Raw genomic sequence first — 24,531 nt, 5'->3', positions numbered from 1 at the left:
TTAATCAGGCTGCACTTTGAAATGCATTCAAATGAAGAATGCAGCCTTGGGGAGTGCTCTGTAGGATGGAAGGGCTGGATAATGAGGCTGACCCCACCTCTTCCACTCCCTTCCCCACCAATGCCTGACCCCTTAATCTGGCCCAAATGGCCAGTTCACAAACATATGAAAATAGTCCATGTAATCTGTTTCCTCTCTGGGGGAAAAAAAAAACAAAAACTGCACAACAGAAAGCTTTTCACAATCACAAATAACTCTTCTGTGAAATCCTACTAAACACAGATTTACTTCTGTGTGCTGTGTCCTGCACTGGGAGCCTTTTGGCCCAAATTGCATGCTTGCATGGATTGCCCATCTCACTAACCACACAACCCTGTGAGCTCTGTTTGTTGAATGGACTCTGGACCCAGGTGGCCTGAGTTCAAATTCCAGCTCTGCCATTTGCTAGTTGTGTAACCTTGGGCAAATTACCTGTGCCTCGATTTCCTCATATGTAAAAAGGGATAACAGTAATCTACTTATAGGGTTGCTGTGTAGACTAAATGGGTTAGTTTACCAACAGCACTTAAAATAGTGCTTGCTGTAAGAATTAAAGAAAGAAGACAAGAAATACAAAAAAAGCAGCTCAACAGTCAGAGATAGGTTTATTTCGGAGAATAAACCTGAGAGGGGCTTCTGGCTGATTTTGGTCAGGAGCACTCTCTCTGACAGACTAAGAATATTTAAGGGTTCAGGGAGAGGGAGCTTATCACAGGCTTGGAATGTTTCTGTGTGGAGGAGAAGCTTATTGTGGGGTTGGAATGTCTCTGGTTGGAGAGGAGATTGTCTTGGGGCTGACATTTCTCCGGTCAAAGGGGAGGTTATCTTGGCGCTGGCATGTCCTTGGTCGGGGAGGGGTTTATCTTAGGGTTGGAATGTTTCTGGTCAGAGATGTCAGTTGTGGTTTATGGTCATACTGACATTAGCCATTAGGCTGATGCCCTTTGGGTTTGATTTAGGCAGTTTTTGATCAAGGGGAACTTTAAAATGGCAGTGCTTGTCCAAGATGGCAATGCTCCTGCTCTGTCACTGGCAACATCGCATGTGCCATGAAAATGTTGGCTTACCACAAATAATAACATCATGTGTCTATAATGGGGTTGAAATTATCTTTGTGTAATATGAGCGGAGATTTTCTTATTAATCCATGGGAAACTACTTACAAAAGTTTTCATAGAGTAACTGGTTCCCCAACTCCATTTTTTTCTATCATATCTTAAGTTTATCAGCTGAAAATTCTCTGGTCACAAGAATGTTTAGGACACCTCAGGGTGGAGGAGTCACTATAATTTACAGTTAATGATGTGTCTCAGTTCTCCGGGAGCTGAAGATGGGAACTTGAGTTAATTGTCTGAAGTGGAGTTGTCATAGGTGACTTCATTAATCAGGACTTGTCTTTGCCATTTTCTCCTGAAGTGGCCACAGTGGGGCCTTCAATGCTTGTATGTCCTGTTGTTTTCCAATGTTCCAGGCAGACTGGGCTCTACTCGTGAAATAATGAGAGTAACAGGCACAAGCCTCACTCAGAGAAAGCTCAACACATTCTCTCTCCTTATCCTGCAGAAATAACCAACAGGTCAGAAGAGCCTAGCTCACCCCCTCAGCCCACTCACTAGTGAGGGCAGGTCAGAAGCTTTTTTTCCCCATCAAAAGGTACCCCCTTGCCCCGCACTGGTTTTCATGATGAATAAATGAACCCGTGTGTGTGTGTGAAAAGCTCTGAAGAGCTATTTTTGTCACAAACTACATTCCTAATGATGCCTTTTCTCCTTGCTGGTTTTTCTTTTGCAGGGATTAGTCCAAGTTTGGTCTCTAGCAAGGTAGACAGATGGATGTATTAGAGATGACACCCACCAGGTCTAGACAGCTTCTCTCCCTGCAGAGTTTCTACTTCAGCAGGAAAAGGACAAACAGCAAAAGTAACAGACACCATCAATCCAAGACTGCTAATTGGTATTTGATTATAATTCAGATGTGGTCTGTGATTGAGTAAACACTTTCATTTAGATTATAATAGTTCCACATGGGGGAGTAGCTGAAGAATGACAAAAAGGGTCTGGGATAAAAGCAAATTAGAAAATAAGAAAAAGTATTTTATTATTCCTTCATCTTTTCATCATTTCTGTCAAAAGACAAAATTCAAAATGACAACAAATTTAGTTAAATGATCGAATTTGCTTTTGTTTACAATTCATGAATCGGGGTGACATCTCCTCCAATAATTTAGAAAATTCCTATGATGAGCTGAGCCGAGGAGGTTGGTTTTACAGGCAGAAAAGGCTGAGAAAATCAGAAACTGGGAACACAAAGTGGATTGGTTAGCATCAAGTTACTTTAGGTTCCTTTCCTCAGGGTTAAAGAAGAGGGGACTTCCTTATCGTGAGGAATAACACTGGCTTGTTTGGGGATTTGCTTGTTATCTCTCTCTTTCTCCTGATTCCTTGCAAGGTAAGATAAACAATTTAGTTTCAGTTTGGTGATGTGAGACTTTAGCACAAGGGATTCCATTTTGGCTTGGCCTACAGGGGCCTAGTGCAGGAGCTCAGTCTCAATCAATGGCCTCCTATAAATTTTATTTAACATTTTTAAAATAAAAACATTCAGATAAAATTCATCTACGACAAAATTCACCATTGTAACCATTTTAAAGTATACAATTCCATTGTTTTTAGTATATTCACAATATTGGGCAACCATCGCCACTATCTAATTCCAGACTATTTTCATTACCCCAGAAAGAAACCTCATACCTTCCAGTTCCCTCCTCCCCCTATCCCCTGGCAACCACTAATCTATTTTCTGTCTCTACACATTTGTTTACTCTGGAAATTTCACAAAAATGGGAGCATATAACATGTGACCTCTCCTTTCATCATCCCTTGAGCATCCACCATGGGCCAGGTACTATGTGACTATCTGCCCTCAAGAGGTTCAGTCCAGCCAGGGAAAAGGACCTGCAGCAGCAGAATTACCCTGCCTGGGACAGCCAATAGTGTTCTGGCATTTCCTTTGCTATGTTGACAGAGGAAAAGGAGTTGACGCCATCCTCACATGGTTAACAAGAATTCTGTACAGAAATATTGTTATAACTAAGCGTTAATTAGGCTGCACTTTGACCCACTTCCTTGTTGCTATAAGTCTCCTAGCACAAGACACCTGACCACTTGCATACCCATTGTTTCTATAAAGAGGATTTCTGACGTTTGAATCATAAGGCTTTTTTTTAAGGATCGCTTAAGATGTTTTTCAGATCCCAAATTCCAGCAAAATAGCTGATGCCAGCCAGTTTGAAGACTCCCACAAAGAAATGGAATTAGCATAAGAATACAGTTTCTTCAGTTCCCTGTCCCATGACTTCGCCCTGCACTATTTGACCAATCAATGGTCTCCACACTTTGGCCCACTCCAAAACCCTTAAAAACCCTAGCCCCAAACTCCTCAGGGAGATGGATTTGAGGTTCCCTCTCATCTCTTTTCTGGGCAACTCTATGATTAAATCTCTTATCTCTGCTGCATCCCAGTATCTTGGTGTATTGATTTGCTGTACACAACAGACAATGGACCTATTATGGTTACAGTTTTCCAGTAAAAAGAGGGAAGGGGATTCCAGGAAGAGAGAATAGCAGAGATGGTGTGTTGTTTGGGGAAGGCCAAGAAGGTCCTTGGGGCTAAAGCATCAGATGTACAGGGAAGGTAGGAAGATTTTGGGGAAAAAGGAGACAAGGCAACAGGTAAGTTAGGTCAGAAAAAGCAGAGCCTTGAGGGCTCCTTAAATGAGACTGGGATTGCTCCTCTAGGCTCTGGGGAGCCAGGCAAAGGTCAGCGTGTGTTTTAGGAAGGAAACCAGCCATGGACGGTGGGTTGCAGAGGAAGACTGTCAAGTGGAGGAACAGGAGGATGCAACAGTCCAGGTTTGGAAAGGCTAGGCCTCCCACTCTTGCAGAGGCAGTAGGCTCAGGAAGAAGGAAACATCCATTTGAGAGGAATTTCTAAGGCTGAATAAACACTGTCAGGCCTCTGAGCCCAAGCTAAGCCATCATATACCCTGTGACCTGCACGTATACATCCAGATGGCCTGAAGCAACTGAAGATCCAAAGAAGTGAAAATAGCCAGTTCCTGCCTTAACTGATGACATTCCACCATTGTGATTTGTTCTTGCCCCATCCTAACTGATCAATTGACTTTTTGACAACACACTCTCCCCACCCTTGAGAAGGTACTTTGTAATATCCTCCCCGACCCTTGCGATAATGTACTTTGTGATATTCCCACAACCTTAACAAGGTACTTTTTAATATCCTCCCCCACCCTTGTGATAATGTACTTTGTGATATTCCCCCACCCTTAAGAAGGTACTTTGTAATATTCTCCCCGCCCTTAAGAATGTACTTTGTAAGATCCACACCCTGCCTGAAAAACATTGCTCCTAATTCCACCACCCATCCCAAACCTATAAGAACTAATGATAATCCCACCACCTTTTGCTGACTCTCTTTTCGGACTTAGCCCGCCTGCACCCAGGTGATTAAAAAGCTTTATTGCTCACACAAAGCCTGTTTGGTGGTCTCCTCACACGGACGTGCATGACATTTGGTGCCAAAGACCTGGGACAGGAGGACTCCTTCGGGAGACCAGTACCCTGTCCTCGCCCTCACTCTGTGAGAAGATCCACCTATGACCTCGGGTCCTCAGACCAGCCAGCCCAAGGAACATCTCACCAATTTCAAATCGGGTAAGCGGTCTTTTCATTCTCTTCTCCAATCTCTCTCACCATCCTTCCACCCTTCAATCTCTTTCTTCCTTAATTTTGGTTCCTTTCTTTTTCTGGTAGAGACAGAGGAGACGTGCTTTATCCATGAACCCAAAACTCTGGTGCTGGTCACGGACTCAGGAAAACAGTCTTACCTCGGTGTTTAATCACTGTGCGGATGCCTGCCTGATTATTCACCCACATTTCAGAGGTGTCTGATCACCACGGGGACGCCTGCCTTGATCCTTCACCTTGGTGGCAAGTACCACCTCCCTGGGGTAGCAAGCACCACCTCCCCTGGGTGGCAAGTACCACCCCCCTCTCTGTGTCTCTATCCTCTCTTTTCTCTGGGCTTGCCTCCCTCACTATGGGCAACCTTCCACCCTACATTCCTCCTTCTTCTCCCTTAGCCTGTGTTCTCAAGAATTTAAAACCTCTTCAACTCTCGTCTGACCTAAAACCTAAGCATATTATTTTCTTCTGCAATACCACTTGGCCCCAGCACAAACTTGATAATGGCTCTAAATGGCCAGAAAATGGCATTTTTGATTTCTCCATCCTACAAGACCTAGATAATTTTGGTCAAAAAATGGACAAGTGGTCTGAGGTGCCTTATGTCCAGGCATTTTTCACACTTTGTTCCCTCCCTAGTCTCTGTTCCCAATGCAACTCATCCCAAATCCTCCTTCTTTCCCTCCCACCTGTCCCTTCAGTACCAACCCCAAGCATCGCTGAGTCTTCTGAATCTTCCTTTTCTACCGACCCATCTGACCTGTCACCTCCTCCCCAGACTGCTCCTCCTCAGGTTGCTCCCTGCCAGGCTGAATCAGGTTCCAACTCTTCTTCAGCCTCTGCTCCCCCACTCTACAACCCTTCTATCACCTCTCCTCCTCACACCTGGTCTGGCTTACAGTTTCGTTCCATGACTAGCTCTTCCCCACCTGCCCAAAAATTTCCTCTTAGAGAGGTGGCTGGAGCTGAAGGCATAGTCAGGGTACATGTGCCTTTTTCTCTGAATGCTTTCTGAAATCAGCCAGCATTTAGGCTCTTTCTCATCAGATCCCGCTAAATATATACAGGAATTCCAATATCTAACTCTGTCCTACAATTTAACCTGGAGTGATTTAAATGTCATCCTAACTTCTACTCTCTCCCCAGATGAACAGGAAAGAGTTTCTTCTCTAGCCCAATCTCACACTGACAACCACCGGCTTCATGAGCCAGGCCTCCAGGAAGGCATTAGAGCAGTTCCCCGAGAAGATCCCCAATGGAACTATCAGGCAGATTCCCCCAGGTATAGCTAGGTGAGATTATATGACTGCTTGCCTAGTTGAAGGGCTTAAAAAGGCAGCATACAAATCTGTTAATTATGACAAACTTAAAGAAACTACCCAAGGAAAGGATGAAAACCCAGCCCAGCTCATGGTTTGTTTAGCAGCAACCCTGAGATGCTTTACAGCCTTGGACCCAGCAGGGCTAGAAGGCCGTCTTATTCTCGATATGCATTTTATCACTCAATCTGCTCCTGACACTAGAAAGAAACTCCAAAAGCTAGGCTCCGGCCCTCAAACCCCACAACAGGACTTAATTAACCTTGCCTTCAAGGTGTACAATAATAGAGAAGAGGCAGCCAAGCAGCAACATATTTCTGAATTGCAATTACTTGCCTTCACTGTGAGAGAAACCCCAGCCACATCTCCACCACACAAGAACTTCAAAACGCCTAAATTGCAGTGGCCAGGCATTCCTCCAGGGCCTCCTCCCCCAGGATGTTGCTTCAAGTGCCAGAAATCTGGTCACTGGTGCAAGGAATGCCCACAGCCTGGGATTCCTCCTAAGCTGTGTCCCATCTGTGCAGGACCCCACTGGAAATTGGACTGTCCAACTCACCTGGCAGCCACTCCCAGAGCCTCTAGAGCTCTGGCCCAAGGCTCTCTGACTGAGTCCTTCCCAGATCTGCTCAGCTTAGCGGCTGAAGACTGATGCTGCCTGATTGCCTCAGAGGCCCCCTGGACCATCATAGACGCCGAGCTTCAGGTAACTCACAGTGGAGGGTAAGTCCATCCCCTTTTTAACTGATACGGGGGCTACCCACTCCACATTACCTTCTTTTCAAGGGCCTGTTTCCCTTGCCCCCTTAACTGTTGTGGCTATTGACGGCCAGGCTTCTAAACCTCTTAAAACTCCCAAACTTTGGTGCCAACTTGGACAACATTCTTTTATGCACTCCTTTTTAGTTATCCCCACCTGCCCAGTTCCCTTATTAGGTTGAGACATTTTAACAAAATTATCTGCTCCCTGACTATCCCTGGACTACAACCACATCTCATTGCTGCCCTTCTCCCCAACCCAAAGCTTCCTTTGTGTCTTTCTCTTGTATCCCCCCACCTTAACCCACAAGTATGGGACACCTCTACTCCCTCCCTGGCAACCAATCACACACCCATTATTATCCCATTAAAACCTAATCACCCTTACCCTGCTTTAACGCCAGTATTCCATCCCACAACAGGCTTTAAGGGGACTGAAGCCTGTTATCACTTGCCTGCTACAGCATGGGCTTCTAAAGCCTATAAACTCTCCTTACAATTCCCCCATTTTACCTGTCCAAAAACCGGACAAGTCTTACGGGTTAGTTCAGGATCTGTGCCTTATCAACCAAATTGTTTTGCCTATCCACCTTGTGGTGCCCAACCCATACATTCTTTTGTCCTCAATACCTTCCTCCACAACTCACTATTCCGTTCTTGATGTTAAAGACGCTTTTTTCACTATTCCCCTGCACCCCTCATCCCAGCCTCTCTTTGCTTTTACCTGGACTGACCCTGACACCCATCAGTCCCAGCAGCTTACCTGGGCTGTACTGCCGCCACAAGGCTTCAGTGACAGCCCTCATTACTTTAGCCAAGCTCTTTCTCATGACTTACTTTCTTTCCACGCCTCCACTTCTCACCTTATTCAATATGTTGATGACCTTCTACTTTGTAGCCCCTCCTTTGAATCTTCTCAACAAGACACCCTCCTGCTCCTTTAATATTTATTCTCCAAGGGATATTAGGTATCCCCCTCCAAAGCTCAAATTTCTTCTCCATCCATTACCTACCTCGGCATAATTCTTCATGAAAACACACATGCTCTCCCTGCCGGTCATGTCTGGCTGATCTCTCAAACCCCAAACCCTTCTATAAAAAAACAACTCCTTTCCTTCCTGGGCATGGTTGGATACTTTCACCTTTGGATACCTGGTTTTGCCATCCTAACAAAACCATTATATAAACTCACAAAGGGAAACCATTATATAAACTCACAAAGGGACCCCATAGATCCTAAATCCTTTTCCCACTCCTCTTTCCGTTCCTTGAAGACAGCTTTAAATACTGCCCCCACACTAGCTCTCCCTGACTCATCCCAACCCTTTTCATTACACACAGCAGAAGTGCAGGGCTGTGCAGTCGGGATTCTTACACAAGGACTGGGACCATGCCCTGTAGCCTTTCATCCAAACAACTTGACCCTACTGTTTTAGGCTGGCCATCATGTCTCCATGCAGTAGCTGCCGCCACCCTAATACTTTTAGAGGCCCTCAAAATCACAAACTATGCTCAACTCACTCTCTACAGTTCTCATAACTTCCAAAATCTATTTTCTTCCTCACACCTGACATGTATAGTTTCTGCTCCCTGGCTCCTTCAGCTATACTCACTCTTTGTTGAGTCTCCCACAATTACCATTGTTCCTGGCCTGGACTTCAATCCGGCCTCCCACATTATTCCGGATACCACATCTGACCCCCATGACTGTATCTCTCTGATCCACCTGCCATTCACTCCATTTCCCCATATTTCCTTCTTTCTTGTTCCTCACCCTGATCACACTTGGTTTATTGACAGCAGTTTTACCAGGCCTAATCGCCACTAACCAGCAAAGGCAGGCTATGCTATAGTACCTTCCATCTATCATTGAAGCTGCCACTCTGCCCCCCTCCACTACCTCTCAGCAAGCCAAACTCATTGCCTTAACTCGGGCCCTCACTCTTGCAAAGGGACTACGCATCAATATTTATACTGACTCTAAATATGCCTTCCGTATCCTGCACCACCATGCTGTTATATGGGCTGAAAGAGGTTTCCTCCCTACGCAAGGGTCCTCCATCATTAATGCCACTTTAATAAAAACTCTTCTCAAGGCCGCTTTACTTCCAAAGGAAGCTGGAGTCATTCACTGCAAGGGCCATCAAAAGGCATCAGATCCCATCACTCAGGGCAACGCTTATGCTGATAAGGTAGCTAAAGAAGCAGCGAGCATTACAACTTCTGTCCCTCATGGCCAGTTTTTCTCCTTCTCATTGGTAACTCCCACCTACTCTCCCACTAAAACCTCCATCTATCCATCTCTTCTCACACAAGGCAAATGGTTCTTGGACCAAGGAAAATATCTCCTTCCAGCCTCAAAGGCCCATTCTATTCTGCCGTCATTTCATAACCTCTTCCATGTAGGTTACAAGCCGCTAGCCCACCTCTTAGAATATCTCATTTCCTTTCTTTCATGGAAATCTATCCTCAAGGAAATCACTTCTCAGTGTTCCATCTGCTATTCTACTACTCCTCAGGGATTGTTCAGGCTCCCCTCCCCGCCACCCCCACCTGCTTCCCTACACATCAAGCTTGGGGATTTGCCCCTGCCCAGGACTGGCAAATTGACTTTACTCACATGCCCCGAGTCAGGAAACTAAAATACCTCTTGGTCTGGGTAGACACTTTCACTGGATGGGTAGAGGTCTTTCCCACAGGGTCTGAGAAGGCCACCATGGTAATTTCTTCCCTTCTGTAAGACATAATTCCTTGGTTTGGACTTCCCACCTCTATACAGTCCAATAACGGACAGGCCTTTATTAGTCAAATCACCCAAGCAGTTTCTCAGGCTCTTGGTATTCAGTGGAATCTTCATACCCCTTACTGTCCTCAATCTTCAGGAAAGGTAGAATGGACTAACGGTCTTTTAAAGACACACCTCACCAAGCTCAGCCTCCAATTTAAAAAGGACTGGGCAGTACTTTTACCTCTTGCCCTTCTCAGAATTAGAGCTTGTCCTTGAGATGCTACAGGGTATAGTCCATTTGAACTTTTATACGGACGCACTTTCTTGCTCGGCCCCAACTTCATCCCAGACACCAGCCTTCTGTGCGACTATCTTCCAGTCCTCCATCAGGCTAGACAGGAAATTCACCAGGCTGCTAATCTTCTCTTGCCTACTCCAGATTCCCAGCCATATGAAGACACCCTAGCTGGATGATCAGTTCTTGTTAAGAATCTGACCCCTCAAACTCTACAACCTCGATGGACCGGACCCTACTTAGTCATCTATAGTACCACAACTGCCGTCCTCCTGCAGGACCCTCCCCATTGGGTTCACCATTCCAGAATAAAGCTGTGCCCATCAGACAGCCAGCCTGATCTCTCCTCTTCCCCCTGGAAATTGCAAGTACTCTCCCCTACTTCCCTTAAACTCACTCGCATTTCTGAAGAGCAGTAATAACCCTTATGAGCCTAATACATCCCTTCATTCTATTAGGTCTATTCATCCTTACCCTACTTTTTGCAACAGGGCTTTACACAGTCACTCCCACTACTTGGACTGCACCCCAAAAACTTGTCATCCCTACTATCTTCTGTCTAGTCACACTCCTATTCACCATTCTCAACTAATCGTAAATACCACACTTTTCCTCCAAACCATCATAACTGATATCTCCTGGTTTTACCTCAAACCGCCACCCCTAAGTCTCTCTTGAAGTGGATAGAAGATCTTCAGTGGCAAGGTACACTCCAATTCTTCTATCCTGATGAAGGTCTTTCTTTTTTTTTACTTTTCTACTCACTCTTATCCTTGCCCCCATTCTCCAGTCACTCTCTACCTCTCCCTAGTTACCTCCAGCACACTATCAATCTCACCCACTCTCTCCTCACTGCCTCCAATCCTTCTCTAGCAAATAATTGTTGGCCATGCATTTCCCTTTCTTCCCACTCTTACACAGCCATCCCTGCTCTACAGGCTGACTGGGCTACTCTCCTGTCTCCCTATACCTCCGAACCTCCTTTAATAGCCCTCATCTTTACCCATCTGAGGAACTTCTTTACTTTCTAGGCAGATTTGGTGAGAACTCCCCAGATATTTTGCACCAACAAGCTGCCACACTTCTCCACGTCTATTTACGGCACCTTTCTCCTTATGTCAATTCCACCCCCCTCCACCCCGCCATATTTGGACCTCTAACCACACAAACAACTATCCCTGTTGCCGCTCCTTTATGCATCTCCCGACAACAGCCTACTGGAATCCCTTTAGGCAACCTTCCACCGTCCAAACGTTCCTTTACTCTTTATCTCCAGAACCCAGCCACACACATTATCAAAGAGATGGGAGCGTTCCAACTTCACATTACTGATAAGCCCTCTATCATTATTAACAAACTAAAAAACATTGGCAGTCACTATTGTTAAGGAAGACACCTACCCTGCATCTCACTCCATCCTTGGCTACCCTCCCCCTGCTTGTCTGAATCTCCTCCTAGGCCCTCCTCTTGCTTGCTTATACCAAGCCCCATGAATAGCAGTGAAAGGTTAGTCATAGACACTATGCACTTTCTCATATACCACGAAAACCAAACCTCTCCCTCTATGCAGTTGCACCATCAATCCCCATTATAACCTCTAATGGCTGCTGCCCTTGCTGGATCTCTAAGATTTCAGGTGCAGGACTCCTCTTTGAGTACACCGTCTCACTTTTTCACTTTACATTTCCAGTTCTGCCTGACACAAGGTCTCTTCTTTTTATGTGGCTCTTCCACCTACATGTGCCTACCTGCCAAATGGATGGGCACATGTACTCTAGTCTTCCTTACCCCCAAAATCCAGTTTGCAGATGGGAATGAACAACTGCTTGTCCCTCTCATGACACCAACACAACAAAAAAGAGTCATCCCACTAATCCCTACACTTGTAGGCCTAGGACTTTCTGCCTCTACTATTGCTCTTGGAACTGGAATAGCAGGCATATCCACCTCTGTCACAACATTCCGCAGCCTCTCTAATGACTTTTCTGCTAGCGTTACAGATATATCACAAACTTTATCTGTCCTCCAAGCCCAGGTTGACTCTTTAGCTGCAGTTGTCCTCCGGAACTGCCAAGGCCTTGATTTACTCACTGCTGAAAAAGGAGGACTCTGTATATTTTTAAATGAAGAGTGTTGTTTTTACCTAAATCAATCTGGCCTGGTACATGACAACATAAAAAAACTCAAGGATAGAGCCCAAAAACTCACCAACCAAGCAAATAATTATGCTGAACCCCCTTGGACACTCTCTAATTGGATGTCCTGGGTACTCCCACTTCTTAGCCCTTTAATACCTATTTTTCTTCATCTTTTATTTGGACCTTGTGTGTTCCATTTAGTTTCTCAATTCATACAAAACCGCATCCAGGCCATCACCAACCATTCTATACAACAAATACTCCTTCTAACAACCCTACAATATCACCCCTTATCCCAAAATCTTTCTTCAGTTTAATCTCTCCCACTCTAGGTTCCCACGCCACCCCTAATCCCGCTTGAAGCAGCCCTGAGAAACATCGCCCATTATATCTCCATAGCACCCCCCAAAATTTTTGCCGCCCCAACACTTCACCACTATTTTGTTTTGTTTTTCTTATTAATATAAGAAGACAGGAATGTCAGGCCTCTGAGCCCAAGCTAAGCCATCACATACCCTGTGACCTGCACGTATACATGCAGATGGCCTGAAGCAACTGAAGATCCACAAAAGAAGTGAAAATAGCCAGTTCCTGCCTTAACTGATGACATTCCACCATTGTGATTTGTTCCTGTCCCACCGTAACTGATCAATTGACTTTTTGACAATACACCCTCCCCACCCTTGAGAAGGTGCTTTGTAATATTCTCCCCGGCCCTTGTGATAATGTGCTTTGTGATATTTCCCCGCCCTTAAGAAGGTACTTTGTAATATTCTCCCGACTCTTAAGAATGCACTTTGTAAGATCCACCCCCTGCCCACAAAACATTGCTCCCAACTCCACCACCTATCCCAAACCTGTAAGAACTAATGACAATCCCACCACCTTTTGCTGACTCTCTTTTCAGACTCAGCCTGCCTGCACCCAGGTGATTAAAAAGCTTTATTGCTCACACAAAGCCTGTTTGGCGGTCTCTTCACACAGATGCGCATGACAAACAGCAGTTGGGTATCCCCAGATGGGGCAAGTGCAAGAGAGAGGGAGTCAAGGCTCTGAACAGCCTTCTCCTGATGCACAATGAGACCTTGGGTGAGGCAGAAGTAGCTGGTGAGTCCATCACCCTCTGCTTAGAACACCATGGCTTCCCCTTTTTCTTAGGAATTCTTATGGGGCTGTCAGAGGTGTTGGAACCAGAGCAACTCCATCTTGAATAGGAGCTGCATAAAATGAGGCTGAATCCTAGTGGGCTACATTCCCAGACAGTTAGGCATTCTAAGTCACAAGTTGAGACAGGAGATCGGCACAAGATACAGGTCATAAAGACCTTGCTGGTAAAACAGCTTGCAGTAAAGAAGCTGGCTAAAACCCACCAAAACCAAGATGGCGACAACAGTGACCTCTGGTCATCCTCACTGCTACATTCCTACCAACGCCCTGACAGTTTACAAATGCCATGGCAACATCAGGAAGTTACCCTATAAGGTCTACAAGGGAAGGCATGAATAATTCACCCCTTGTTTAGCATACAATCAAGAAATAACCATAAAAATGGGCAACCAGCAGCCCCCGGGGCTGCTCTGTCTATGGAGTAGCCATTCTTTATTCCTTTACTTTCTTAATAAACTTACTTTTGCTTTAGTCTATGAACTCGCCCTGAATTCTTTCTTGCGCGAGATCCAAGAACCTTCTCCTGGGGTCTGGACTGGGACCCCTTTCCAGTAACAGGGCTTCCAAAGCCCTGTAGGATCAGGCCTCTGCCCAGCCCCAAATGACCTCACAGTGGTCTTCCATAGTTCTCTCCTCCTGCCAACAGCCTTGGCATGCCATTCCAAGCTGCACAGCTGCCCTCTGTCATTCACTTACCCTCTTCCTGGTCAATGCCTACCTGTCTCAGCCCTGCCTAAGTCAAATATCCCTATATGCATCTCCTGAAACAACATAGTCTTTCTTCACAGCCATTGTCACCATGGTCATTTTTCATTGACTTGTGTAACTTTTGATCCTGAAGCTGAATGAGGCAGAAACCAAGTCAATTTTGGCTCTTGTATCCAGCATCTAGCCACATATCTAGTATTTAATTGGTGTTCCATAATACTTGATGGAGAAAGAAATGAGCAAACCAAACTGGGATCCTTCCAATGAGCCTGGGGCCCTTTGTGATATAGCTTCTGTTAAGAGAACCGGGAAGAGGGGAGAGAGTCACTCGAATCCTGGCATTTTCACTCAGTGGGGCCTCCTCTACCCCAACCTGAGGTTTTCTCCTGATAAAATCTGCTTATGAAGAATGCTAAGGGTGGCTATAGCTCCCAGGGTGAATCCTGCAAGTGCTTTGGCTGGCTTATTACCCTCAGGTTACAGTATATTATGCTTTTTAAGTATAACATAATGAGGGCTCATACAGTGAGACAACCCCACCCAGATTGTAATCAATGTCTGAGAATGCATTTATTTAGCACTTTTGCTCCTGCTCAATATGCATGCAAAGATTTCAACTTTCCAGGAAACCTTTCTCAAGCTGTTCTCTTTTCCAGCTTTTGTCTTCTGTCTCCCCTTTCATTCTCCCTCATCACCATCTGACAATTCTCCTCCAATTGTTCTACTATGAGGCTCTGAGTTGCTGAATATGCTGAACAGAAAGGCCTGCATATTCAATAAGAGCCCCAAGGAACTTGCATGCAGGAGGGTCCAATACTATAAGGAGGTAGAATACCATCCACTTCAAGGCCAGCCGGCCCAGGGGATTGTTGGGTTGATGGAGACTGCAAATGCACTACTAAGTGAGTACCTCTGACTGCCCTTCAGGGCCTTAGTTTCTTTATCTGCTATTCCAACAGCCCCTAATGGTACTCCCACCCTCCCTCCTACCCAGTCATTAATATATAGGCAATTTTAAATGAGTTAGGATCCTTAATAGCACAGTGCCTGGCACAGAGTACAGGTTTAAAAGCTGACATGGGTGGATCACGAGGTCAGGAGATGGAGACCATCCTGGCTAACACAGTGAAACCCCGTCTCTACTAAAAAATACAAAAAATTAGCCAGGCGTGGTGGTGGGCACCTGTAGTCCTAGCTACTTGGGAGGCTGAAGCAGGAGAATGGCGTGAACCTGGGATGCAGAGCTTGCAGTGAGCCGAGATTGCACCACTGCACTCCAGCCTGGGCGATAGAGCGAGACTCTGTCTCAAAAAAAAAAAAAAAAAAAAAAAAAAAAATTGTTACATAGGAGGAAGGAAGGAAGAAAGGGAGGGAGGGAGGGAGAAAAAGGGAAGCTGACTGACCACACTCATGTGCTCAACTATAAAGAAGACCTTCTATTCACAAGAAACATTCCTCCCCCTAGAAGCCCTATTGACCCATGTAATACCTGGAAAGGCATCCCCAAGACTCTTCTCCCCAACCCATCCCCACACCTAACTGCACCAATGCTACTCCTCCACACATCATCTCCTACTACACACCCCTCCTCCAATTTCCCCACTCACCAATGCTCATTTCTGGGCTATTAGCAAGTAAAACAGTTACCCCCAGTTTCCTACGCATTTATTTACATCAAACATCATGTTCTATGCTGTGATCCATTTTCAGCATTGCAGTTTTAATTAATGTCTAATGAACAAATCTCGTCTTTGCATGTTTCACAATCCACAGACAAGTTAATAAATGAGAATGTTTCATTATAAAAATCATTGCTTCCATAATCTATCTACTTCCAATGCCACCTTCCATTCTTTCCTCCTCTGGGTCTCATCCCCTTTTTAGAGTTGCCTAGCTAAAACAAATATTCTAACTCTCTAAAACGATCAGTTCAATATTCATAGAGTCCTGACTCATTCAAATGATGAAATACTAGCTATGGCAACCCTCTAGCATCTTTCTCCTAAGCCTTCCTCCCTTGCTTTGTTTTTGCTCTTGGTTCTGACAGCCTATTGGTTTTGGATTGGAAAAGTTATTGACATTTCATCTCTCCCAATTGCAAGAATATAGAGGAACCAAGTGGAGGGAAAAATCCCACAGGAAAGTCAACCATGATGAGAACACAAGGTACAAATACCTGAGAGAAGAGGGGAGATTGGGAGATAAGAGGAAAAAATGGAAGCAAATGAAGGTCAGGCCTGTTGATGGTCTCACCACATTTGAAGGTTTAAATTCCAATCTCAGACTCATTCATGCAGGAACTTGCTCCTTCACACTGTGGCTTCCATCCTCAAAGTCACCTCATGATTCAAGATGGCAGCTGGAGTCCCAGTCATCACATCTATATTCTAGGAAGCATGACTGAGGAAGGAGAAATGGCAGAAGGGCAAAAGGGCCCCCCTTCCTGTGGAATTAGCTTTCTTTTATGCAGCCTTCCTGGAAGACCCACATAATATTTTGCTAGAATTAAAAAATACAGTTTCACCTTATAAGGGAGAATGGAAAATAGGGTCTTTTAACTGGTCACAGTGACATCTCAAATAAAATGGGAGTTCTATTGCTAAAAAAGAGGTTGAACAGAGATTTGGGTGGGAACTAGAAGTCTCATTGAGAAGCCAAACTCAAACATGTGCTGATATTCTAATAGGGGAAAAAAGAGAGTGATGAACTAAAGACAGAGAAGAGGGAAGAAGAGTAGGAAATCTTAAGAATCCAGCAATATCTACCAATGTGAAATTCAGCTAAAACTTTATTTTAGAGTACACTATGCCAACAAATGATACTTCATATGTATTTATTGACATGAAAGTAATATAAACTCCATGTTCACTGAACAATCTCAGGTACCTTGAACAGTGCTTGGCACATAGTAGGTGCTCAACAAATATGTTTAAATCAAAAGATGTCTTGAATGATGTATGATGTTAAATAAAAAAGTAAGTTTAAAATAGTATGTAAAATATCCTATAACTTTACTAAAATCAAATATGTGTATGTATATGTAGATAGATAGACAGATAGAGCCAACCAACCAGGCAGTAAGATCATTAAAATGATTGATAACAGTAATTTTCTGTGCATAATGTGATAGAATTGGGGGTAATTCTTATTTTCTTATTTTTAGCTTTCCTGAATTTTCCAATTATTCTAAGTTAATTATGCATTACTTTATATAGTTTTTAAAAGTCTTATCAGAATTTAATTATGCATTACTTATACAGTCTTAAAAAGTTATATCAAAATCCATTTGAGACAAAAATCAACACATGAATGGCCTTACCTAGAGAACAAAAAAATCTGGATTAGATTTTAAAATAAGAAAGAGTTGAAATAGATATTTAAAAATCATTTTTAAAAAATCACTTCTTAATAAAGAGTGATTCAGCATTAGAAGACAGGACTCCATAAAGACATTCAGACAAGGAACCCACAACTTTCTACACAAGAGGATTAGGAAATAAGGAGTTGCCCTCAAAGCTTTAAGGCTCCTCTTCACTCTGGGATTCTTGTCTTCATTTCAAAACTCCCTATCAACAGGCAGCAATCAGCTTCATTAATCCTCAAATATTATGGTGACTTAAAGATGACATAGTGCATTCTTCACAAAGACAGATATGGCAACTGAGCCCAAGGAGGTTTTAATACCAGAGCCCCCAACTTTGCACCCAGTATGTTCCCAATTTGTCTTCCTTTTCCCCTGCAGACATAGCTTGTGCCTTTCAGTGTGGCCATGTTTGTGGGAAAACAAAGTTTGCCATAAAATTGGCTTCATCAAGCCAGAGTCCACATATATTATATATCCGACTCTCATTTTAGAAGGAAAAAACTAACCTTTGGGTTTCACAGGGTCGGTTAATCTATGCCCTAAAGTTGTATTGAGAGGCTGAGAGGCCACCAATGGAGGTCCTGGATTATAAGAAACAGACTCTTCCCTCTCCTCTCACCCATACTCAACACGCGCCCACCATAGTTCCTTGAACGCAATATGTTTTTTCTTGCTTCTATATTTGCACCCAGGTCAATACTCCTGGTTGGGATGTTCCCTCTCTTTCAGTCAATCCAAACCTTACCCATCTGTTAGGCCTTGCCCCCATTCTTCCTGTTATCCAAAGCTTCCTCTGACTCCTGCAGCCCTTGTTACAGGCTCCCTTCTCTGACCTCCCGTGACCAGCACCATACAGTCAGCTCCTAACTGTATCTGCTATATCATAGTCCTTACTGCTTCATACATGTGCATCTTATCACCCCAGCCAGACTCTAAGCTCTTGCAGGGAGAGTAAGGTTCATCACACACACACACACACACACACACACACACACACACACACACACACACAGTTTATAGTACACTGCTTTATACCTGGTAGGTTCTCAATAAAAATCTGTTCATCAGTTATTTGGAAATAACCAGAGAGCAGCTGAACAGTCACAAATTTTTAACAAGTTGAGTTATAAGATAGTCTCAAGACCCAACTATATGCTGTTTACAAGAAACTAACTGAAGATCTAAGGACAAATAGGTTGAAAATGAAAGAATGGAAAAAGATATTCCATGCAAACGGTAACCAAAAGAGAACTGGGTGGCTATACAAATACTAGAAAAAATGGACTGTAAGCCAAAAATTGTTGTAGGCCAGTTGTGGTGGCTCATGCTTGTAATCCTAGCACTTTGAGAGACCAAGCCTGGACAACATAGTGAGACCCTATCTCTACAAAAAATAAGAAAATTAGCCAGGCATGGTGGTACATGCCTATAGTCCCAGCTTCTTGGGAGGATGAGGTGGGAGGATTGCTTGAGCCCAGGAGTTTTAGGTTGCAGTGAGCTATAAATGTGCCACTGCACTTCTGTCTGGGCAATGGAGTGAGACCCTGTCTGAAAAAGAAAATTTATTATAAGAGACCAAAAAAGGACATCATATACAGATGCTCCGCAAATTATGATAGGGTTACATCCAAATTTAATTTCATTATTTTCTCTATAGAACAGTTAAATTGTTTCCAATTTTCCCTTTTTTTTATTTTAAAGAAATTATTTTCCTTGGGATAAATTCTTTTATATTTCCATCATTAATTGAAAATATCCTAAGTCCAAAATGTATATTAGCTTACAATTGGGCAAAATAATCTAACACAAAGCTTATTGTATACTAAAGTGTTGAGTATCTTAATGTAATTTATTGACTACTACACATTAAGTCAAAAGTGCAATGGTTTTACACCATTGTAGAACCAAAAAATTGCAAGTCAAACCATTGTAAATCAGACACCATCTCTATTAACAATAGGGTAAATCCATCAAGAAGCTATAACAACTGTAACATATATGCAGCAAACAACAGAGCCTCAAAATATGTGACACCAGCATTGACATAATTGAAGGGAGAACTAGATAGTTTTACTCTTGTAGTTGCAGACCTCAATATTTCACCTTCAATAATGGATAGAACATCTAGACATAAGAGCAATATGAAAATAGAGGCACGTTACCCATGTTTTTTTTCAGTCCAACAGGAACCCTGTCCTCCAAATGCCAATGGAAAGAAAAGGAGGACAGTATTGTAAGTGCTATTACAAATGTTATCGTTAAGTGCTGCTGTACCATTTGAGACATTTCTTGCCTATTACCACTCAAGATGCACTTTATCATAAGGAACCACTTCAGGCACCAAGGCTACTGTCTTCTCAGGTCACAAGTCCAGATTCAACCCTTGTCTTCAAATCCCATACAGTTCTAGGGAGATCGAACTACAGGGCATCCAGCATCAGTTACATCCTGTGTCACCAAAGCACTTAGACCCTTGTCTAAGCCTCCAGTCAGACTCCTGCTTCCCCAGAATAATTTTATTTCAAGGGGCCTTTCTCCCAGGTCCTGGGCTGTGACCAGACTCTCCCCATGCTTTTCTCAACAAGACCCCTTAATCTTAAATTCACAGAAGACAAATCAGATGTCTTTCCCTTCCATTCTGGAAGGCCCTGGGTAAAACTGGTTCACTTCTTCCCAGTTACCAGCTCTGTGAAACATGGTGTGAGGAAACATTTGCCAAATGACTTAAAACATAAAAGGTTTTATAAAAACCTAATTCCAGGAGAATGGGGGGAGAAGAGCTGCTGCATCTATACTACTAAGAAGGCAACGCAACTGACCCTTCACAGGATAGCGATAACCATCTTCTCCATATTTAAAAAAAAAAGTATCCCGTTACACAGCTAATTGCCAATAAGTAATGCAGACAATGAGTACTAGAGGAGTTCTGAGAACAAGAAGATCAAAGAGGTTTGAAGGCAACCAGAACATTTTGAATCTGCTACTACTTGGAATGCAAAACTTGTCACCAAAATTTTACCATCACAGATTAATTTTTAAGAGAAAGTATTTTGGAGGAAACTCCTTTATTCAAATTTAATTTCATAATTTTCTCTGTAACACAACTAAATTGTTTCAAATTTTCTCATTTCTAAAAGCAATTATTTTCCTTGGGATAAATTTCTTTCTTTTTTTTTTTTTTTGAGATGGAGTCTCACTCTGTCGCCCAGGCTGGAGTGCAGTGGCCCGATCTCGGCTCACTGTAAGCTCCGCCTCCCGGGTTCACGCCATTCTCCTGCCTCAGGCTCCCGAGTAGCTGGGACTACAGGCGCCCGCCACTGCACCCAGCTAATTTTTTGTATTTTTAGTAGAGACGGGGTTTCACCGTGTTAGCCAGGATGGTCTCAATCTCCTGACCTCGTGATCCGCCCGCCTCGGCCTCCCAAAGTGCTGGGATTACAGGCATGAGCCACCGCACCCGGCCTCCTTGGGATAAATTTGTTTCCATTTTTTGGATAAAGATTATCTCAATTCATATCTTTTTTTTTTTTTTTTTTTTTTTTTTTTTTTTTTTGAGACAGAGTCTTTCTCCGTCACCCAGGCTGGAGTACAGTGGTGCAGTGGTGCGATCTCGGCTCACTGCAACCTTTGACTCCCAGGTTCAAGCAATTCCTCTGCCTCAGTCTCCTGAGTAGCTGGGATTACAGGTGCCTGCCACCAAGTCCAGCTAATTTTTTTGTATTTTTAGTAGAGACAGGGTTTCACTGTATTAGCCAGGATGGTCTCGATCTCCTGACCTCGTGATCCACCCGCCTCAGCCTCCCAAAGTGCTGGGATTGGAGGCATGAGCCACCATGCCTGGTCCATTGTATTTGTTTTTTAACAGCTTTACTGAGATGTAACTCACATACCATACACTTCATTCATTTAAAGTGTACAATTCAATGCTTTTTAGTATATTTACAGAGCTGTGCAATCATCACCACAATCAACTTTAGAACATTTTTATCACTTCCAAAAGAAACCCCATCCCCATTAGCAGACACTACCATTCTCCTGAACCCCCACCCCTAAGCAACCACTAAGTGTTTTGTCTTTATAGATTTGTCTATTCTGGATATTTTATACAAACGGAATCATACAGTATGTGGTCCTTTGTGACTGGCTTCTTTCATTTAGTATGTTTTCAAGATTTATGCACATTGTAGTATATATTAGTACTTCATTCCTTCTTATTGCCAAATATGTCATTGTATATACTACATTTTATTTATTATTAATCAATTAATGGACTTACAGATTGATCACTTTCTACTTTTTGGCTATTATGAATGGTGCTGCTATGAATATTCATGTACAAGTTTTTGTGAAGGTACATTTTTGTTTATCTTCTTGGGTATATACCTAGGAGTGGAGTTGCCAACTGGTTCCATTTGACCTTACCTAATTTTCTGGGTTAACACTCCTATATTGTGTTTATGTGCGTGCATGTGTGTGTGTGTGTGTGTGTGTGTGTGTGTGTGTGTGTATGGCAGAAAGACACACAGAGAGAGACAGAAAAGAGAAAGAGAGGCCGTACCTATTTGCGTGTCTTATCTGAAATTTTTGCATGCATAGCAGATTCAATAATCATGGAGTTGAAAAGATGGCATCAAAGTGATTGGCTCAAAACATCCTACAAAGGAAAAACTTTCTGGAAAAAATGTCTAACTTGAGTTGAGCTGGTTTTTGTAAAGAGCTGGAGAGAAGAGAGAAGATAGTGCTGTAGTAGGGGCCACAGCACAAGTAAAGGCCTGGTGATTGGGCTGGATATAGAGTACTTGGGGAATAAGTAAAAGTTAGTAGAAGGAGAGGCTGGAATGATTTGTTAGGAATCACCTCATCAAGGTCTTTGAATGGCAGCCTCAAGGGTTTAAAGACTACATTTTTATAGCTTTAGGGGAGCCATTGGAGACTGTGGTTTAGATACTTCAATCACATGATCATATCAGATGGGCATGATCACAGCGATGACTGGCAGGTGCAGGCAGGATGGACCTAAGCGGGGAGACACTAAGCAAGCCCTTGTCCTTAGGAGTCTATTGCAGCAATTCAGGGCTGAGGTAAAGGCTCTGAGCATAGCCAGCTGGAAGTCAGTAGCTTAAATATTGATTTAGTGGGCAAAAGCCGCATTTATCACGGGGCTGGTTCCCTAAAAATCCTGTGCCTATGTGCAGGGAACTCATCATTTCCCTATTACACAAATTGATTAGGTCATTCGGAGCTGAGATTGATGCCAGAGATTTGCTGCTAATCAAGCTAGAATAGCAAGTTGGAGGACAAGACAGGCCTTCTGCCAACTGGGCAAGGAACTGGTCCCAGAGGCAGAGAATACTGCAGCGAAGCACCCTGTGTTTGCTTGGGAAGTCTGGGCAAAGATAGCCTCTGAGAGGCCTGGCAATGCCCTTCAGTTACATCTGGAGTCTCCAGGGCAACTCCTAGAATGACACATCTCAGGGCTTCTGTCAAGAGCTGACCAGCCAAGCGGAATCCAGCCCCAGAGGTCCATGACAGGGCTGTCCTCACTGTGTACTGAAGCTGTTAAGAGTGGGGGTACTGGGGGAACAGGGCCTAGGGCAGCATCTGTGGAGAGTCCAGGGGAGCCAAAGCCTTGGAGAAAGAGTTGACTGTTTTGGCAATAATAACAATAGTCTGCAATAACAAAAATTTGTGTTTGTATACACCTTCTGCTGTGCTCCAGAAAAGAGGGAGGTTCGACTTTCTTGGTGGATAAGATATTCTCCCCCTCACACAACGATACCCTAGGCCCATTGTAAGAAGAGCCCTGCAAAACTAGCCACATGCCATCCAGTGCCAGGAAGCCTAGTTCTGAAATGGTGGTGGTGGAGTTTCCACCCATCTGTCCCTACCACAGAGGGAAGTGTACTTGGCTCCATCTATAAACTGAGGCAGCATATCTGGGAAGAACCAAATCTCCAGAGCACCCTGGTTTGGGACAATCAACACCCCAAGTCAAATGCCTTTCAGCTTTCAGCAGCTCTCCTGTCTGCGACCGGCCCTAGTTTCGAAGGCGGGAAATGCTCAGTGAGTAGTGGAGGGAACACTTTTAGTACTATGACCCGTAATTGACTGACGCTGCTGCCACCACTTTGGGTTGACCTTAGCCCGGGATTGGAAATGGGCGGTAGGGCAGGGGGCAGGGGTCTGCTTTTTGCCACCGCTCACCCACCTGGGATATCTAAGTACAGTCACCATTATTATTTTTATTTTCTGCCATCATATCATCACCAGGGTCTTGCTTCCCGCAGTCCATAGTAAGCGGGAGGACAGGGAAGGAGCTGGCTGCCCGAAGAGGATGATTTTCCGCCTGTACTGAGGGTGTTCCACGCCAGAACTTTTGTGGCCCCGGCAAAGCCGGCTTGTGTCCAGCAGAGGAGCACCCGCAGCCGCGCGGGGCATCCGTCGTCTTTTCCTGCCGCGGTGGGGCGTAGGGGGGCGACCATTTCCCAGGGGCGTTCCATAGCACACCGTTCCCCGCGCCGGCCTCAGGGGAGCTGCCAGTGAGCTTCCCCTACACCTCCTCTATTCCTCTACTCTCTACCGCACCCAGGGTGTTATTCCCCGCCCCGGGCTAGAGGGGTCGGTGAGCTGGGGTGGCGCGAGGAGCCCGGCAGTCCGCCGGGCCTGGGCTCTTTCTCCCTGTGGCACCTTGGCCCCCTACCCGCGCTTGACTCCTCCCCCGTCTCTATTCCGCAGCGTCCCCGCCCTGTCAGCAGCCTGCTTCAGCGACCGCACCTGCCTCGGGTGGCGGGTAGGGGGGTGCACACGGGAGGTAGAAAGGAAAACAGGGAAGGTTTGGGGTGCACAGCACAGCGGGGTGAGCAGCCTTGCCCGCGCCTCGGACCCCTGGCAGCCCTAGCGGCGCCCGCCCGCGGCTGCGGCACCGATGCGCTGTCCGCGGTGCTGACGCCGGCCGCCCGCTCGGTCGGGAGGGGGAGCAAACGCCCTCGTTCCCAGGTCGCCCGGAGCCCAGCGACCGCCTCTCCCCGATTCCCCGTTTCCAGTGGAACCCGCTGCGTCCTGGGGCTGCGGTTCGATCCAGGGCAAAGGAGTGAACGAAGGGAACTTAAACTTCGGACTAACGCCCGAGAATCCAGTGTCGGCGATTCGCGTCGCGCGGCCTCCAGCCCTGGAGACCTCAGAGCACCACCAACTTGAGCAAAGTTTCACCGCGGCATGAGATAAGGGAGAGATTCCAGAGGCGAAGCGCAG

At 44.8% G+C, this 24,531-nt stretch overlaps 1 protein-coding gene across 26 annotated transcripts in view, besides 4 other annotated features; it reads right to left on the bottom strand.

Moving 5' to 3' along the window:
• The window catches only part of MSH2 (mutS homolog 2), a 306,764-nt gene that overhangs the window by 114,138 nt on the left and 168,095 nt on the right, over positions 1-24,531 (bottom strand). The window lies entirely within an intron of this gene.
• Positions 2,269-2,563: a silencer, noted in NCBI's record as "tiled region #1309; HepG2 Repressive non-DNase unmatched - State 23:Low". NCBI's record gives its function as "represses a minimal TATA promoter and a strong SV40 promoter by Sharpr-MPRA in HepG2 cells {active_cell/tissue: HepG2}" and the evidence as "EXISTENCE:reporter gene assay evidence [ECO:0000049][PMID:27701403]".
• Positions 23,255-23,783: an enhancer, noted in NCBI's record as "H3K4me1 hESC enhancer chr2:47799049-47799577 (GRCh37/hg19 assembly coordinates)". NCBI's record gives its function as "activates a minimal SCP1, AML or CMV promoter by ChIP-STARR-seq in primed H9 embryonic stem cells {active_cell/tissue: H9 hESC(primed)}" and the evidence as "EXISTENCE:reporter gene assay evidence [ECO:0000049][PMID:30033119]".
• Positions 23,784-24,314: an enhancer, noted in NCBI's record as "H3K4me1 hESC enhancer chr2:47798518-47799048 (GRCh37/hg19 assembly coordinates)". NCBI's record gives its function as "activates a minimal SCP1, AML or CMV promoter by ChIP-STARR-seq in primed H9 embryonic stem cells {active_cell/tissue: H9 hESC(primed)}" and the evidence as "EXISTENCE:reporter gene assay evidence [ECO:0000049][PMID:30033119]".
• Positions 24,131-24,290: a silencer, noted in NCBI's record as "silent region_11465". NCBI's record gives its function as "represses an Ori minimal core promoter by ATAC-STARR-seq in GM12878 lymphoblastoid cells {active_cell/tissue: GM12878}" and the evidence as "EXISTENCE:reporter gene assay evidence [ECO:0000049][PMID:35858748]".

This window comes from Homo sapiens, chromosome 2 (genome assembly GCF_000001405.40).
Source record: "Homo sapiens chromosome 2, GRCh38.p14 Primary Assembly".
NCBI classification, from domain to species: Eukaryota; Metazoa; Chordata; class Mammalia; order Primates; family Hominidae; genus Homo; species Homo sapiens.
This window is presented reverse-complemented; position numbering and strand designations above follow the sequence as displayed.